The sequence below is a fragment of the Homo sapiens genome, chromosome 8, assembly GCF_000001405.40.
Source record: "Homo sapiens chromosome 8, GRCh38.p14 Primary Assembly".
NCBI lineage: Eukaryota > Metazoa > Chordata > Mammalia > Primates > Hominidae > Homo > Homo sapiens.
Genome location: NC_000008.11, coordinates 61,127,081 through 61,144,466, shown reverse-complemented (window position 1 = coordinate 61,144,466; position 17,386 = coordinate 61,127,081). Strand labels below are relative to the sequence as shown.

General features: G+C 44.8%; 1 protein-coding gene across 2 annotated transcripts in view, besides 2 other annotated features; it reads right to left on the bottom strand.

Annotated features, from left to right (window-relative positions):
* CLVS1 (clavesin 1) overlaps positions 1–17,386 on the bottom strand; it is a 536,782-nt gene that overhangs the window by 357,163 nt on the left and 162,233 nt on the right. For both annotated transcript variants that reach the window (XM_024447079.2, XM_017013141.2), the window contains one exon: positions 12,607–12,697. The gene's annotated coding sequence lies outside the window, so the exon portion shown is untranslated. The remainder of the gene's footprint in view (positions 1–12,606; positions 12,698–17,386) is intronic.
* Positions 4,846–5,005: a silencer, noted in NCBI's record as "silent region_19234". NCBI's record gives its function as "represses an Ori minimal core promoter by ATAC-STARR-seq in GM12878 lymphoblastoid cells {active_cell/tissue: GM12878}" and the evidence as "EXISTENCE:reporter gene assay evidence [ECO:0000049][PMID:35858748]".
* Positions 5,446–5,585: an enhancer, noted in NCBI's record as "active region_27444". NCBI's record gives its function as "activates an Ori minimal core promoter by ATAC-STARR-seq in GM12878 lymphoblastoid cells {active_cell/tissue: GM12878}" and the evidence as "EXISTENCE:reporter gene assay evidence [ECO:0000049][PMID:35858748]".

Here is a 17,386-nt window from a genome sequence, read left to right as displayed (position 1 = left end):
CCCAAATGCCCATCAATGATAGGCTGGATAAAGAAAATGTGGCACATATACACCATGGAATACTATACAGCCATAAAAAAGGATGAGTTAATGTCCTTTGCAGGGACATGGATGAAGCTGGAAAGCATCATTCTCAGCAAACTAACACAAGAACAGAAAACCAAACACCGCATGTTCTCACTCATAAAGCGGGAGTCGAACAATTAGAACAAATGGACACAGGGAGGGGAACATCACACACCGGGGCCTGTTGGGGGCTGGAGGTCTAGGAGGAGGATAGCATTAGGAGAAATACCTAAGGTAGGTGATGGGTTGATGGGTGCAGCAAACCACCATGGGATGTGTATACCTATGTAACAAACCTGCACGTTCTGCACATGTATCCCAGAACTTAAAGTATATATATATGTATATATATACAATAAAGCAAAGTTGAGAATGGATATTAATAATAGCTGAAGAGAAAACAATTTAACTCATCTAGTTTAGGTAATTCAAACAAGAATGCTATTAATTTGCTTCCTTCAATAAGATGTTTCATCTCTCCATCTTAATTTGCTTGGGTGGTTAATCCCATATTTCTCATTTTAATATGAGAATATTATATGTATATATATTATGTATATATAATATATACATATTATATATGTGAATTTAAATATGAGAATATTATGTATATATAATATGTACATATTATATATAATATATTCATATTATATATATGAATTTAAATAAGAGCACAGCAAAGAAGATCCAGCATAGAGTAATTTATTGTAAAATAAAAATAACATTTTTAAAATTAGGTGCAGAATAGACAGTACACTCTGAGAGAGAGAATTCAGGGCAGGCTGCTCATAAAAGGATGAGACAGCAAAGACTGGCACTAGGGAGACTCTCTTTATGGGAGTCCTACATGATTATTCATAAGGGGGTGGGAATAGGTGTTTGCTACTAGTAAGCATGTTCTGGGTGGTTCTCTGAGTGCACACACACAGTAGCTGTACATGCTTGCTCATATGTCACAAGTCTCATTAGCATCTTAAATCTCCACCCAGAATGAGCAGTTTGAGGACAGGTAAAATCAAAGTGCGCATGCTTTCTGCAGGGGAAATTCCCTGCTGAAGATAGCCTTGCTTGAATGAGCTGGACCACAGTGCGAATCCTGGGGCTTATTGTGTTGACTGTACGGTCACCACAGTTGCTGCACCACAAGGACAGGGTTACTTCCTTGACTCTACCTGTCTAGCCTCAAGTGTATTTTTAAAAGTATATTTTATCCAAAATTAAGATTATGGTTTCTGATTTGTCTGGTGGATGTGGTAGGTTGTTTTCCCTTCTTTGTTTCTGTTTCAGGATTTCAATCTAATTTGAATCTAATTCGAATCTAAAGATTATGATCACATACAAAGCAAAGTTGAGAATGGATAATATCAATAGCTGAAGAGAAAACAATTTAACTCATCTAGTTCAGGTAATTCAAACAAGAATGCTATTAATTTGCTTCCTTCAATAGGATGTTTCATCTTTCCATCTTAATTTGCTTGGGTGGTTAATCCTATATTTCTCATTTTAATAGCAAGTATGTCCATTCACAAGTGTCGAAGAGGTTTGAAAGCTGGGTTCACTTGCTCTATGAAAATATCACCAGATCAGAACAACCAGAAAGGAGCAATCCCTCCTGGCATTACAGAAGGTGTGTATCTGTTTCCCCCTCCTCCCCTCTAATCTGAGCTGTACTCTCATAAATTAAAGTTGACAAGACAAGCATGAGAAGCCTGTTTTGCTCAGGTTCAGTGGCTCCCCAGAAGGCCAGGACTCAATGTAAGAGGCAGAAAGGCTACAAAAAAGAAAGGTGACATATTTGCCAAGCAGTCTGGTAGCCTCAACTTGATATGCTTTATCTGTGATGGCAAGAGGCGGGCATTGTTTCTTCCTTTCCCTTTTTTCCTAGTGATGCTTCTCAATCAGCCAGTGAGACTTAAGTGAGGCCCACTTACTCATGGCAAGGCCAACGTCCCAATTGTATTAGTCCATTTTCACATTGCTATAAAGAACTACCTGAGACTGGGTAATTTATAAAGGAAAGAGGTTTAATTAACTCACAGTTCCACATGGCTGGGGAGGCCTCAGGAAACTTGCAATCATGGTGGAAGGCGAAGGGGAAGCAGGGCACATCTTACATGGCAGCAAGAAAGAGACAGAGAGGGAATGTGCCACATTTTAAACCATTAGAGCTCATGAGAACTCACTCACTATCACGAGAACAGCATGGGGGAAACCACCCCCATGATCCAATCATCTCCCACCACGTCGCTCCCTCACATGTGAGATTACAATTTGACATGAGATTTGGGTGCAGACACAGAGCTAAACCATATCACTGGCTATTGTGAGAGTTACAAAGAGGGTCTGCACAAGTTTATAATCCAGAGGTGAGGCCTGTGCACAAGAAAAACTGTGCTGTATAAGAAACTTCTGAAAAACAGCAATGCCTAGCCAGAAGAAAAGATTAAGGGAAGATGGACACCTACAAATCTGGAGTATTTCAGAAAACAGAATCAGGGCCAATAGAGCCCTGCTCAAAATAAAAACAGACTCTCTAAGGCCATCATATGGTAGACGGGGCTGACTCTGGAACTACGTCACCAGCAGAGACTGGCCAACAACCTGTCCTATGCTGGGGAGTGGAGGCAAATATCAGACATATCAAAAATTATCAAGTGAAATGTGGAATCAGATGAGCAAAATCTTGTCCAATCCTGATATTCTGTACAAAAGTTAATTAAAATAAGTGAATAAGTGAAGTATTATTTGTGACTTGGGCTTCACAAAAGAGCCTTGTGAGAGTAAGTGGTACTCAACTCATACAATACCTATTTTTATGTATTCATCTCCAGGAAAAGTGTAGCAGGGATGGAGAGAAAGAGAGAGAGAATTAATGTTCATTGTTGGCCTATAGGCCCATATGTAAAATATATATATATATACATAAGCCAATATATTGGTCAATGGAGCCAGTATTCAACTTACAGATAAATATAGAAATAAATATGTGTGTGTATGCACATAACATACACACACACAAGACACACATATATTCCATTTGCCAAATGCTGTAACTTTTTTTAAGTGAGCTTGTATACAACTGAGGTTATAAGGTAGGCTCCATTTGTCTCAATGTTTATTTTATGGCCTTTCGACCATGCAAAGTGGGAGAAGGACAAGAAAGAAAAGAAAAAGGAGGAGGAGAAGCAGGAAGAGGATGAAAAAAGGGAAGTTAATATGGAGGACCTAGAGGGCTGCAGACATTTTATACACATTATTTTGCTTTATATGTATTTGCATTCAAGGTGAGTGAACCATTATTACACCCATTTAGATGAGTTCAGATGAGCGCAGATAAGTGAAATAATAAAATTAGTAAAAGGCAGAGCTGTGTTTCAGACCCAGTTCCGTCTGATCACAAATCTCTGCTCTTTCCTCACCACTCCCTTAGTAACAAGGAGAGAGGTGCCTGACTCAGTTAAGGTCCCACAACTGTAATACGTCACCACTGACATGTTTAAACAACAGGATTTTTTTCCAAGAAATTTTAATTTAAAAAAAATTACGGTGGCTCACGCCTGTAATCCCAGTACTTTGGGAGATCGAGGCGGGCGGATCACGAGGTCAGGAGATCGAGACCATCCTGGCTAACACGGTGAAACCCCATCTCTACTAAAAATACAAAAAAAAAATTTAGCCGGGCATGGTGGCAGGCGCCTTAGTCCCAGCTGCTCGGGAGGCTGAGGCAGGAGAATGGCATGAACCTGGGAGGCGGAGCTTCCAGTGAGCCGAGATCGCGCCACTGCGCTCCAGCCTGGGCGACACAGCGAGACTCCGTCTCGAAAAAATAAAAACAAATAAAAAATAAAATAAAATAATAAAAAAATTAAAGTATATATTCCTAAATATGCTTTGGGTTCTCCAACTAGTTACAAGCATTTCCTTTGCTGGTGCCAGGTAGGAATTTGACTCAACCAGCCAAGTGTATCACTTCTAATAGGACGGAAGAAATGCTTCCCTTCACTCCAAATCTCTTAGCGGAAGTTAATTTATGGTCTTCATGATCATCAAATGAGACGGCTTTCATTTACACCAAGACCATGAGTGCGGGTGAAATTGGGGCTTTGAGGGTAACCATCCAGAGGAAACAATCAATACTATCTGTAAAGAAATAAAGCACGCTGGGGAACAGCAAAGATTCAGCTTTTGCAGCAGCAAGGAACCTTCGCCCAAGGATAAAATCATTATTTAATGGGTCTGAAGGAAGGAGATCTCACAGTGACCGCCTCCTGCTAACCCAGCCCTCCCAGCTCGCTTGCTGCTCTCTTTCTGGTCTCCATGGAATGCGCCCTTCTAGAAGGACTTAACTTGGGCAGCTTGGGGTCCGTGGCGGAGACGCACCTCGGCTGCTTCCTGCAAGAGCTCCGCTGAGGGCCAGTTCAGACTCTGGAACGTGGCTCAGCCTCCACAGTGTGGAGGCAGGAAATGGAGACAAAAAGACTCCCTCCCTTCTGGCCAAATAGAGAGGATCCAGGACCAGGTGTAGCCTCGTGCTGCGCCCAGGAATCTGCGACGGCACAAGAGGGAGCCGGGAAGGAGAATGGCGGGGCCGCAGAGGGTCAACTGAGACCGTGAAGGACAAAGAAAACTCCAAACATCCCCCCCAGCCCTCCTGATAAACAGAACCGACGCGGAAGCGGACCCCGACCACCGAGGGGAAGCACGATCCTGGCAGCCCTCTCTCGCGCCCTCCCCGTGCCTCCCCCTGAGGCCGGGATGTCGCCTTCCACCTGGCCCCAGCAGGCTGGAAATACGCCTGCGCCCTCCCTTCTGCACGGGCCCTGGGTCCTTAGCCCCCGCCCCCGGCCTCCGCTCGGTCCCCTGACGCCCCTCCCGCTGCTGGCAGCGCCACCACTTTCTGCCCTGGGGAGGTCCCCGGCTCCTGCCCGCAGACAAAGCCATCTTAAAGCGCGGAGAAGGTGACATCGGCAGATAAGATGCTAATTGACAACTCATTTTCATTCTGCCGAACAGAATTGTTTCATTTTTCACTCCTATCACCTGCTCATTTTCGGCAGCCCACACCCGGCAGAAAGGGTTCCCGGGGGAGTCGCTTGAAAGGTTGGAGCCGCCACGGAGCTGGGGTCCTGCGGTTCCGCTGCCCCCGCGGCGCCTCGCGGGCGCTCCCTCGTTCGTGTCTCAATGCTGCCCTCTGCTGGCAGCCGGCGCCACCGGCGGCGCCAGGCGATGAGCCCCTCACTGCCCGCGTGCGTTTTGAGGAGGGCAGAGCGCTCGGGCAAAGGCAGAGGTCAAGGGCGGCGTAGCAGCAACTCGCCTCCTTTGAGGGCATCCTGGAGAGGCAAGGATGTTCAGCTGTCTTCCCGCAGCGCGGGTGCTTCTAGCAGTTCTCAAAGCTTCAGTGCAACAAGAGCAAGGAGAAGCCATTGTCGCGGACGACTTTCCTCTCCTGCAAGAGATCTGGTTTGGAACAAAGATGTGTGTGAGGCAGAGATATTGTATTTACAATCGGGAAAGAGCGAGCCAACACCTGGTAGTACAAAGGCCAGACCTGGGGTGAATGCAAGATTTCCAGCTTCAGGGTCCAAGGACAAACTACCCTTTCCCCATGAGATGTGACGCCCAGCTCTATGGGGCACTCCCAGAGATAACTCAGCCCTTCCTGGGAGCCTGCTGCTCTCCCCCTTCTCTGGCTCGGTCCATGATACCACTCTTCAGACCACTGCCAGCGCTGGACTCCTGGGGACCCACTGGACCCCTATCCCCCCACCCTTACCCCATGTTCATTCATTCCTGCTTCTGATCAACCTCCCTGCCCCCCGTCTCCCCTTCCCAAGCCCATCCTCCCCTCCGTGCTAGAGGGAGCTACATTAAATGATTCAATTACAGTGAAACGCTTAAAACAGTGCCTGGCACGTGGTAAGCACTCAAGACATTTTAGCTAGACATTTAGTTAAGTCTGATCAGCCACTCCCTGTCCCTGCCCAATGGACACTTATAGGGGCTGCCCATTCATTGGATAAAATTAGCAGGCCACAGCCTAACTCAGCCTTATCTTCAAACATTATCTCAAACTGTACAGAGGAACAATGTAATTTTCTGGGGTTCTCAGGAACACACCCTGTGTGTCTTATCTCTGTTGTTGGTAATACTGGCTCCTTAGCTAACAGGCCATCTCATGACCTCTTCACCTATTTAATTGTCTTTTGAGACTCAAACCTTCCTGAAGGCATCCTCCTTTCCTGACGGGCACACTCTACCCATCTTGTTGACTTATGCCTCCTCTTCTGCATTCCCCAAATACTCTATTCTTCATTATAACTTTCTGAGTCTGTCTACTCTCCAGGTCTGAGTTTCTTGACTTGCAAGACTATCTCATTCATCTTTCCTTCCCCTGTAACCAGCACAGTACCTGGCTCTTGTAAGTCAGACCCTCCACCCGTTCACTGCATGAATGAATGAATGGAGGCAGGAGAGAACGCATCCATGAGAGGAGATCCCAGAAGCACCTATCAGCCCCAAGGTGCACCTTCTCCATACACCTGCCAGCAGGAGAGTCCTGTGGCTTAATCAGCTCCTTTGCAGACTGGAAAGGGCAAAGCAGTGAGCACCTGGGAGGCCTTGCCCTGTCAAGTTCAGCAGGATCATCAATTTCTTTAATTAGATGGTAATGGCAACATCGAGCCTGGCTATGTTGGAAAGGGGAGGTTATTATTGGAGGAGGAAAGGAAAGTAATTCTGAAGACTTGAGGACATAGCAGAGAAACAGTCTGGCAAGAGTGTAAGACTTGCGACTCAGGAGGGCAACATGAAGACGCTCGGCACTTGAGGAAAGGAGACTGGGGAAGTATAATAGATGGCTTAGAGGAGAGGAAAATCAACTGAGTATGTTTTATGTATCAAGTGCTTCTTACATCCCTTCTACACCTCATGACAACTGAAGAAGACAAGTATTATCCCCATTTTCTAAATGGAAAAACAGGTGCTCAGATGGATTTGGTCCCATATCTAAGGTCACACAGCTACCAAGTGATAGCACCAAGATTCAAACTCAGGTTCCGTGACTTCCAAGCCCATGTTTTCTCCCTCCATGAATGTTTACTCTGCTGTGAGAAGTAAAGCAAAAGTACCTGGCACCAGCAGGTACTCACCTCCTACCTCTGAGGAAAGTGATTCAGACTTTCCTAAGGTCATTTCCCCCTCCATCTTAACTGGGAGTCCTGGTGGATTTCTGTGTCTCTGAAATGCACCCCATTAAATGTCTTCTATTATGCAGCACGCTGCATAGCTCTTAGCCCAGTGAAGCCCTAGATAGAGTAAGAATCCATTATCGAAGAGCTTCATTTTCCATTTTATATAGAAGACACCCGCTTTCGTACACCCCATTGTACTTGAAGAAGTGGGATGCTTCCTCATTGATCACATTCTCTTCCATGACACCACACTTCATCAGGAGCCAGTGGGATTATACAGCTGTGACTAAAGAGATCTAAATCAATCATCACAATTTCCAGAAAAGAAACCAGAACTCACAAATCACTGCCCTTTGTTTTCTTAACATTTATTTTAACTTCCGGGCTACATGTGCATAGGTTTGTTACATAGGTAAGCTTGTGTCATGGGGTTTTGCTGTACAGATTATTCCATCACCCAGGTATTAAGTCTAGTGTCCATTAGTTACTTTTCCTGATCCTCTCCCTCCTCCCACACTCCACCCTCCAAAAGGCCCCGGTGTGTGTTGTTCCCTTCTATGTGTCCATGTGTGTTCTCATCATTTAGCACCCACATGTAAGTGAGAACATGTGATATTTTGTTTTCTGTTCCTGCATTAGTTTGCTAAGGATAATGGCCTCCAGCTCCATCCATGTCCCTGCAAAGGACATGATCTTATTCTTTTTTATGGCTGCATAATATTCTGTGGTGTCTGTGTACCACATTTTCTTTATCCGGTCTATCATTGATGGGCATTTAGGTTGATGCCATGTCTTTGCAACTGGAAAATCACAGCACTTTGATGTTTCAGGAAAACCCAAACCTGTGTTTCAACTTCTATCACAAAATCATGTTGTTGCAGTGAGGCTGTGAACCAAGTGTTTAAAGGTAAGAATTTCAGTGTGTCAGTTTCAGCAGGGAAATCACATCTCCAGCCTCCCTTGACCTCAAGATCCACTGAATTCCACGTGCATCCAATATGACCCTCCAGTGATACTCTTCCCTGCAACAGTTAGAAACTGCAGTCCAGGAACAATGGTTCTCAAACCTTAGTGTACATCACAGTCATTCGGAAGGCCTATTAAAAATACAGACTGTGGGCTTCCACAGTCACCAGAGTTTCTCATCCAGGAAGTCTGGAGAAATCTGAGACTTTGGATTTCTAACCAATTCCCAAGTGATGCTGATGTGGCTTGTGCCAGGTCCATGCTTCCAGAGCGGCTGCTCTAGAGCAGTCATCACCACAGAGAGTCAGCCGGAGAGCCCGAGAGGGCACAGGCCCAGCGGGGAGCCCTCTCTGAATATCCTACAGGCTTCATCTTTTAACATATGGTAGTCACCAAGGCGAATGCATCTCTACTAGAGGCTCTTTTCTTTTGTGAGGTGCATTTTTAGCACACCATCTTCAAGCTTCTACTCACCGATTCTGCACGGCAAAAGATGCTAAAGACCCCCAGATCAGATAGGATTCATATGGCTCAAGTGACAGAAAGCCAGGCTCCAACTGACTTCAGAAAAATAAAAACAAATATATTGGTTCCAGAAGTGAGGTGTCCAGTCTTGGCTTCAGCAGGGCTCACATGATGTCATCTGACCTGATTTCTCCTTCTCAATCTCTCCTTTCTCTTGCTCTTATTCCTACTCTCTCTCTTCTCTCCCTTACTCCCTCATCAAACCTTCTTCACTTGGGTGTAAAGATGGTCACGGAAGCCACAGGCCTGGAAAAACCCTACATTAAAATCATCCCAGCACAATCTCATGGCTCCTCATTGCTTCTCATTGACCCACATAGAATCAAGCGCTCAGCCCTGAACCAACTCCTACAGGCGGGAAAAAGCAATGCTGTGGATAGGCCTAAATCAAGTGCTCCACTCTTGTTCCCCAGACAAGTCACAGGGGCTTGGAAGGGGACGAGGGTACTAACAACAGGTCTTGCCAAGCCATCAGGCACCACCACCATGTGTAGTCACCAAGTCCGAAGGCTGCCTTTCAGCCCAGATCTCTCCTGGCTGCCATATAGCATTTTCCTCTCTTCTGCTTGGAAGTCTTTTCTCTTTTTGGCTTTCTAGATCAGATACTTTCCTTGAACTGTTCCTGTTTCCATCTCCTTTTTAGGATTTTCCTCTTGTGCCACTCAAAGCCTTGTGTGTGCCATGGATTTTTCCTTATGCCTCATCTCAGTCATGCCTTTTCCATGAGCTGTACCATCCATTCTCTTGCTCTTCAATACCACCCTAAATCTGTGAATTCCCAAGTCTGTATCTCTATCTGTGGTCAGCAGGATAAAACTACCCACCCCCCCAGCAAAGATGTCTATGTCCTAATTTCCAGAACTTGTAATCGAGTTGTGTTACATAGCAGAGGGGAATTAAGGTAGCTAATGAAATTAAGGCTGTGCATCAACTAGCCTGAGATGGGGAGATTTTCCTGGATTACCTGGGTGGGCTCAGTGTAACCACAAGGGTCCTTAAATGTGGAAGAGGAGGCAGAAGAGTGAGTGTCAGAATCACTGTGATGGGAGGAAGACTCAATCCTCATTTCTGGCTTTAAAGATGGAGAAGGAGCTGCAAGTGTAGGAATTCAGGCAGCCTCTGGGACTGCAAAAAGGCAAGAGAATGGATTCTCCCCTAGAGCCTCCAGAAAGGCCCTGCTGACTCCCTGTTCCTATGTTCCAATGCAACTTTATAAACACTGACATTTGGATTTCATAAAATTATTACATGACATGAGATATTCTTTTGATTTGTTTTTTAACATTTAGAATTTTAAAAATTATTCTTAGCTCACTGGCCAAACAAAAACAGGTGACGGGTCAGATCTGGCCATTAGGTACAGGCCTGCTGACCCCACCCTAGAGCCACACTCAGCAAGGCCAGATGCTCAGGCTTCGAGGCGCACCTGGCAATTGGGCCCCACTGAGGCACTGGAGGGCGGGGGTCTTCCATCTCATCCTCTGTACTAAGCATGTGCTGAGCAGAGTGGAGTGATCAACACTTTTTAAACTGTCTATTTCTTTCTCTGTGTCTCTCTGTTTGCTGACTGTGTGTCCTTAAATTTGAGTAAATGAATTATGTGAATGACAGGGGGCTCCACTATACACCCAGCTGCCTGCTGGACATCTCCACCTGAACATCTCATAAACATCTCAAATGCACTGGGTCTAAAACTAACTCCATTGAGCTCATTCTCTCTTTCTTTTTCCTCCCAACCTCTCATACCCAACCACTCTCAATCAAAAACAAAAAACCTTCTCCTATATACCTTACCCTGGTTGTTAGCACCACAATTCACTCTGTCACCCAATTTGGAGCTCTAGAGCTATATTTCCCTTTTCTGCCTCATATTTCCCAGGAACCGTGAGATCCTGTTGTGTCCACCTCTTGAGTATATCACAGAAGTGCCCTTGAACTACCCCAGGGCCAGTGCCTTCATCCCAGGCTTCATCACCAAGACTCTTAAGCACAATGACCTCCTAAAACTGACCTTGCAAATCCCAATCTTTCCCCTTCCCAATCCTTCCGATGTGTTTTGGCAGTGTAGCGTCCTCTGGCAGAGATACACAGCTATGACTGCCTTGCTGTCCAACCTCAAGCCCCTCAAGGTGCCGTTTCATTCACAGGATGACTTCTCAGCTCCTCAATGTGACACAAAAGGTCCTTTGATCTGGCCCCTACCTGACTGCCAGCTGCCACTGCTCCCAGCTCACCTCCATAAACAGCCCTAAGGAGCTACTTACAACTTCCATGTGTTATTCCACACAGCCATGCCTTTGTTATGCCACGGCTTCTTCCTGGACTTCCATACCCCTTTGTCATCTTGGCTACTCTATACCCACTCTTCAAGGCCCCACTCAGCCATCATATCTCCTGGGGAGATTTCCCTGCCCTGCCTCCTCTACCCTCCTGTGCAGAATTGACGACCCCCTCGTCTGTGCCCCCTTCCTATCTTTTACAGCTGTCTATTGTGGCCATGTGTTGAACTCCATTGACATTGTTTGCTTTCCCATCTGCCTTCCCTACAGGCTAACTCCTTGAGGGTAATGTCCCCTGGTGTCCCCCACCAGGCAGAGCATCTGGCCCTTGGTTGATGCTTCCCAGATGCATTTCCAGACTTTGCAGTGGAAGCATGCTGGTTGCTATAGGACTCAGGTGCTGGAAGATAGTATTGCTCCAATTCAGAATCTCACTGCTTTTCACCATGAAAAGACTAGAGCTGCTCAGGCCTCCAGGCCAGACCCTGTGAGGCCCACCCCACAAAAGCTTCCTCCCACACCTGGCACAGAGCAGCAATGATGGTACCTCATCCCTTTTAGGGGAAACCAAATGCCCCCTCCACTAATGGCAGGCTGCGTGCATCCTAAGCCACCCCTGTAGTGTTGCTTTACTTACGGGAGTCAGGCATTGTGTCCCAGCAGCGACACTGGGGAACTTCCCCCACTTCATCACTCTGCAGCTCACTGGGCCCTGCATCCCGCTTTTTAGAACATCTGAAGCTTCATGCGGAAGCCTCGTCACTACAGAATCCCAGGAGACAGGCTGTTCTCTAGTAAAACCCAACAAATAGCCCTGAACTGTGCCACACAGAAGGGGAAATGCCATCAGATGCTGACATCTGTGATGGAAAGAAGGACAAAAGACAGGGATTCTCTTTTCTCTTTTATGGAACTGCTTCTTGGGGGCAGGTATCTGACAGACCCTGAAGCCTGCCCCATTCAGCCAGTCTCAGCATTCAGCCACAGTAGAACCTCCTGCCCAAAGCCTCAGCCCGCGTTGTCCCCAGGACTATGTCTCTCCAGCCCCGGGTGCTTTCTGGAAAAGCCTTTCCCGCCAGGCCTGGCATGCACAGCTCCTGTGCCCCCTCATCTCCAGGATTCCCCTGCCGCAACCCCAGCATCGGTTTTCACCACCAGCAGCTGATCCCGGCTCAGCCTGTGGGCTCCCTCCCAAAGAGACCTCAGGCAACAAGACTCGGTCAGTTTAGGGTTGAGCTTAAAGTTAAGGAATCACAGAGCCCTTGGTGCAAGCTCATTTTGCAGGTCCAGCCTCGTTGTTTCTCTGAGCAGGTGCTATTGGCATTTTGTGAGAGGTACCAGCCTTTAAGACTTTTATGTGTGAGTGTCCATGTACCGTGGCTCACTTGGCACCCTTGATGACCTCCCAGGAAGTGCCAGAGGCACCCCACCCAGTCGCTGTGGCAATCCAATGGCCCCTTCCCATACCCACAGGTCTCCTGAGTGTTAGGGGAAGAGCCTCCATTAATAGCCAGCTTCAGGAAATCCCCGAGCACTGAAGTTTATGCAGTTTTCAAAAACACCAGGTCATATTTACTCACCTTTTTCCTGGCTGATAAAAAGTCCGGTCCACGATGAAAATAAATTCCCAGAGCCTTCATTCTCCTCATCTTCCATTCCCTTGATTAGGCCCTTGAATTAAAAAGAAAAAAAAAAGTCTGGATTTTAAAAAACAGCACTCACTTAAATCTTATTACTTGAGTAGCGATGGTTAAAGAAAAAAAAAAAAACTGGCCCCTAGAAAAGGAAGTTCTTTGCATTAAGTAAATGCCCTTTGCTAAGCAATATTTCTTCTCTGCCAGCAACAAAGTTTTGGGGGTCATGTTTTCCTGTGTAATAACCAAGAACAACTTCTCCCAGTTCCCTTTTCTTCCCTACCTTCCAGCCAAAGGCCCGTCCTTCCTCACCTTTCAGTGAGTCACACTCCCACTACACAGACAGAAACGCTCAAACACAATGTACTCCCAGCCCAATATTGTCCCTCAGCCCCAAGCAGTTCATATAATTTGCCAATTGACTCCGCAAACTCTTCATATATGTGCATTAATTTTCACCTGCATAACCACTGCATAATTCGCACCTTCATCACCTTACATCTGACCCACTCCAGTCATCTTTTCTCTGTCTTGAATCCATTCTCCTCATTCCTAAAATGCATATGTGCTCAGGGCAGACATCTTTTGTCTCAAAATCCTTTGTGAATCCATGGTTTCAGTGATAATGTCCTACCCAGGGCATAGGGAAGAGTCTCCCTAGGGGACAATGTTGGCTGGTAAGAGGCTCACATTAGGGTGGTGACCAGCCACTGAGGCTCAGGCACATGATCCTCGTGTAGAACTATCTCCAGATATGCAGATGAGCACATAGAAAAATAACCTCGAAGTAGAAAAGAGCCCGTGACATCCATGTCTAAAATGGGGGCTCAAACCAAATACTCCTCTAAAATCCTGCCTCACTGTATGAATGATTAGTGATATTTTTATGAGTTGATGAGTCTGGAATTTTAGAACTATCTTAGGCCTCTGCACTGGCATCAATTTTGTAGTGAAAGAAAGGGGTCCAGGGAAGCCCTAAGGAGCCTCTGGCAGCAATCTTCCAGCTTTCTGAGCCCACCCAGTGTTTTTTCCACCAACAGTAGAGGGGTGTGGGGTTACTATCATCTGTACATTTCAAACATGTGACTGGAAGCCTCTTAATACTCTTCAGAAAACATTTGCCTTCTGTCACTAAATCAGTCAATTATTTGAATATATGCCTTTTAACTAAATTATATGTACAAACAAAACAAAACAAAACAAAGCAAAACAAATGTTATTCTAATTATATTTTAGAAACATATTTTCTCACCCAAGATACCAAGTTATAATTCATTCTGTTGGCTTCTAATCTGTCTGGCTTAAAAGCTCTTTTGAGTGATGACAGATAGGTGAACTAATTCGTTATATATCCATTCATTCATTTTGTCTCTTTATTAACTGTCCATAAAATGCTTGGCATGAATTGGGTCAATGTGGTATGCACAAGGGCTCCATACTGCTCAGGAGATGTCACGGAATATATTGACCTGTGGTGGAACTTTACAGTAGATGTGTGCTTTTTAACTCCTTTTTTTAAATTATTTTTATATTTATTTATTTATTTATTTATTTATTTATTTATTTTTTGAGACAGAGTCTCACTCTGTCTCCCACGCTAGAGTGCAGTGGCATGATTTCAGCTCACTGCAACCTCCACCTCCCAGGCTCAAGCAATTCTCCTGCCTCAGCCTCCCAAGTAGCTGGGACTACAGGCACGTGCCATCACACCTGGCTAATTTTTGTATTTTTAGTAGAGATGGGGTTTCACCATGTTAGCCAGGCTAGTCTCAAACTCCTGGCCTCAAGTGATCCACCTTCCTCAGCCTCCCAAAGTGCTGGGATTACAGGCATGAGCCACCACACCTGGCCTTAACTCTTGAATCAATTGATCAATCAGGATTACAGAAACAAGGCATGCCTTTAGATTCAAATCTAAAGAATATATTAACATTGTCTTAGAGAGGTGTGCTGCTTTTAAAATATGTCTGCAAATTCTTTGACACCCATGTCACTGAGAGGTAAAGTTAACCTCCAAGGTGATGATACTAAGAGATGGGGCCATTAAAAGGTAGCCAGATCACAGGGCAAAGCCTTCACTGATGGGATTAGTGCCCTCATAAAAGAGGCCTCAGGGAGCTTGGTCTTCCCTTCCACCATGCAAGGACACAGCAAGAAGACACCATCTATGAACCAGAAAGTGGCCTTATTGGACACAGAATCTGTCAATTCCTTGATCTTGGACTTCCCAGCCTCTAGAAATAAAAATAAATAAATAAATCTCTGTTGTTTATAAGCTATCTAGACTATAGCAGTTAGTTATAGCAGCCCAAATGGACTAAGAAAGATACTCCTACATGTTTACATTTTGAAAAAAGACAGATTTAAAGAAGAAGCAGTAAATGCAGGTTTAGCCCATGGGGAAGCCTGACCATCCCTCTGGTAGCACTACACAGAGAACCAGGAGCTCTACTTCATAGCTGCACAGCAGGTGCCCAAATCAGTGTACTCTAATCACTACACAACCTAAGCAGACAAACTTCACTCAACCACAGGAAAAGTTTCCACTCTGCCTTTCTTTCTCCAAAACAGATAATGTGATAAATCACTGTTAAATTATCTAGCCAACAGCAACCATGAGTTACTCTTCACATAGTTCCATTTAGCTACAGACAATTCCATCTCTTTGTGCGACTGTGGTGTACCTTGCAACAGTGAATCAGCTGAGGGTTGATGTTCTAAGGAAACCTGATGTGCTTCTGAAATGAGATCTTCTCAGTGTGGAAATAAGACTCGGTGAACACCATGCTGGAACAGTATCAAATGCAATAAAAAAGAAATCACTCACTAAAGCATTAAGAATTCCAATAACAGGAGAGAAACACTATGCAGTAGGGGGAACAGTGGAATCACTCTAAAGAGTGAGAAAAGAAACTCTAAGACTGTAAGTTTATCTCTATTCCCAAAACAAACTGAGATCAGATCCACTCTTGTGACAGTAAGAAAACAGGTAGATGGAGAGCCTTGATATAAGAAGTGTCTAAACCAGCAACACAGTTTTCAGGGGGCAGGGCTGAGAATGAAAAGCAAGAGACATACTGCAAAAATGCAAAGGCATCTTCACATGGAGAGGTACCTTCACGTATTGAATGTCAAACCTGACCCAAGCATTGAACCAGGCTGAGAAGCACCAGGGTAGGATGAAAGAGCACAGGGACTGATGTCACACTTGGTGGCCCCTGTGTCCTGCTCTCCCCTGGACCCTGGATTTCATGCCATGTTACATGACTTATCAAATCAGGGCTTCTCATTGCAGGAGCTTGCAGTAAGATAAAACGATTGTTAGAAAGAAAAAGATGTAAAGAAAGGAACCCTACACATGGAGAAAAAAATTCCAGAAAAAGCATAGGTGATGAAGATCAACTGAATAGACCCATCTGTGGCCAGTTCTGACTGTCAAAGAGTCTGAGGTAATATATTTGAAAGCATCCAAATGATGATGAAAAGTAAAACATAACCCACATGACTGGAGCAATTTAGGCCTTACCCCTCCTTGCTGCAGGGACTTCCTGGAAACAAGTGAGATCACAGTAACTTTCAGATTGGATGTACTTATGCATAAGTCTTGGTATCATGACTGGAAAATAGCTTTAGAGATATTAGATTTACATGGTCACATACAGAAAGAACTCAAAAACTCAGATATTTGGCTATGCTGACATCAAAAGTCATGTTTAAAAAATAGTAAAATCAATCAACTGAACACTCCATGGCAGCTGGTTAATGAGTTTTCAAAATAACCATTTTTACCCACTATGGTTGCTTTCAACATCATCTCTGTGTTTTTAAAATCCATCCAACAAGCATTGCCTTTTAGCCCTGCTGGCAGTCGCCTGAAGAGCAGGTGTCTGTCATCTTAACTACTAATTGGAATGGTTCTCCAATAATGAGAGTTAATTCTGCAAAATAGAATGCTAGTAGTATTTGTCTTACATGGTTTATAGACAGACTGTGTACCTAGAAAAAAGAATGAGGAGAGGGAATATCTGTCTAGACTTTGCAAGGGTGCTGTTTGAAAATGAATATCCAACTGGAATATGTGATGAAAGAAAAATATATATATTCAAAGATATATCTTATCAGTTAATCAATTCAGCTCAAAATACTCAGTGTGTTACCAAATATCTGTACAATACTTCCTAAGAAATCAGGCATATTCCAGTTAAAAATGTACTGTACATATAAAATTATGTTGTTTTTCCCCACTGTATAGGTACTTTTTTTCTGAGGCTTAAAAAAATGCTTGAGGCTGGGCACCAGTGGCTCATGTCTGTAATCCCAGCACTTTGGGAGGCCAAGGCGGATGGATTACCTGAGGTCAGGAGTTCATAGACCAGCCTGACCAACATGGTGAAACCTCGTCTCTACTAAAAATACAAAATTAGCCCAGCATGGTGGCGCACACCTGTAATCCCAGCTACTCTACTCAGGAGGCTGAGGCAGAAGAATGGCTTCAACCCGGAAGCAAGAGGTTTCAGTGAGCTGAGATCACATCATTTCACTCCAGCCTGGGCAACAAGAGCGAAACTCCATCTCAAAAAAAAAAAAAAAGCTTGATCTCAGCCAAAGGCCAAGAAGCAATTCTGAGGCTTAATTCAAAGTTGATTCCATATCTTGTTAAAAACTAAGAATGACAACTCTGATTGCTAAAGCTTTATGTTTACCCAGCACAGTTACTAACTCACGC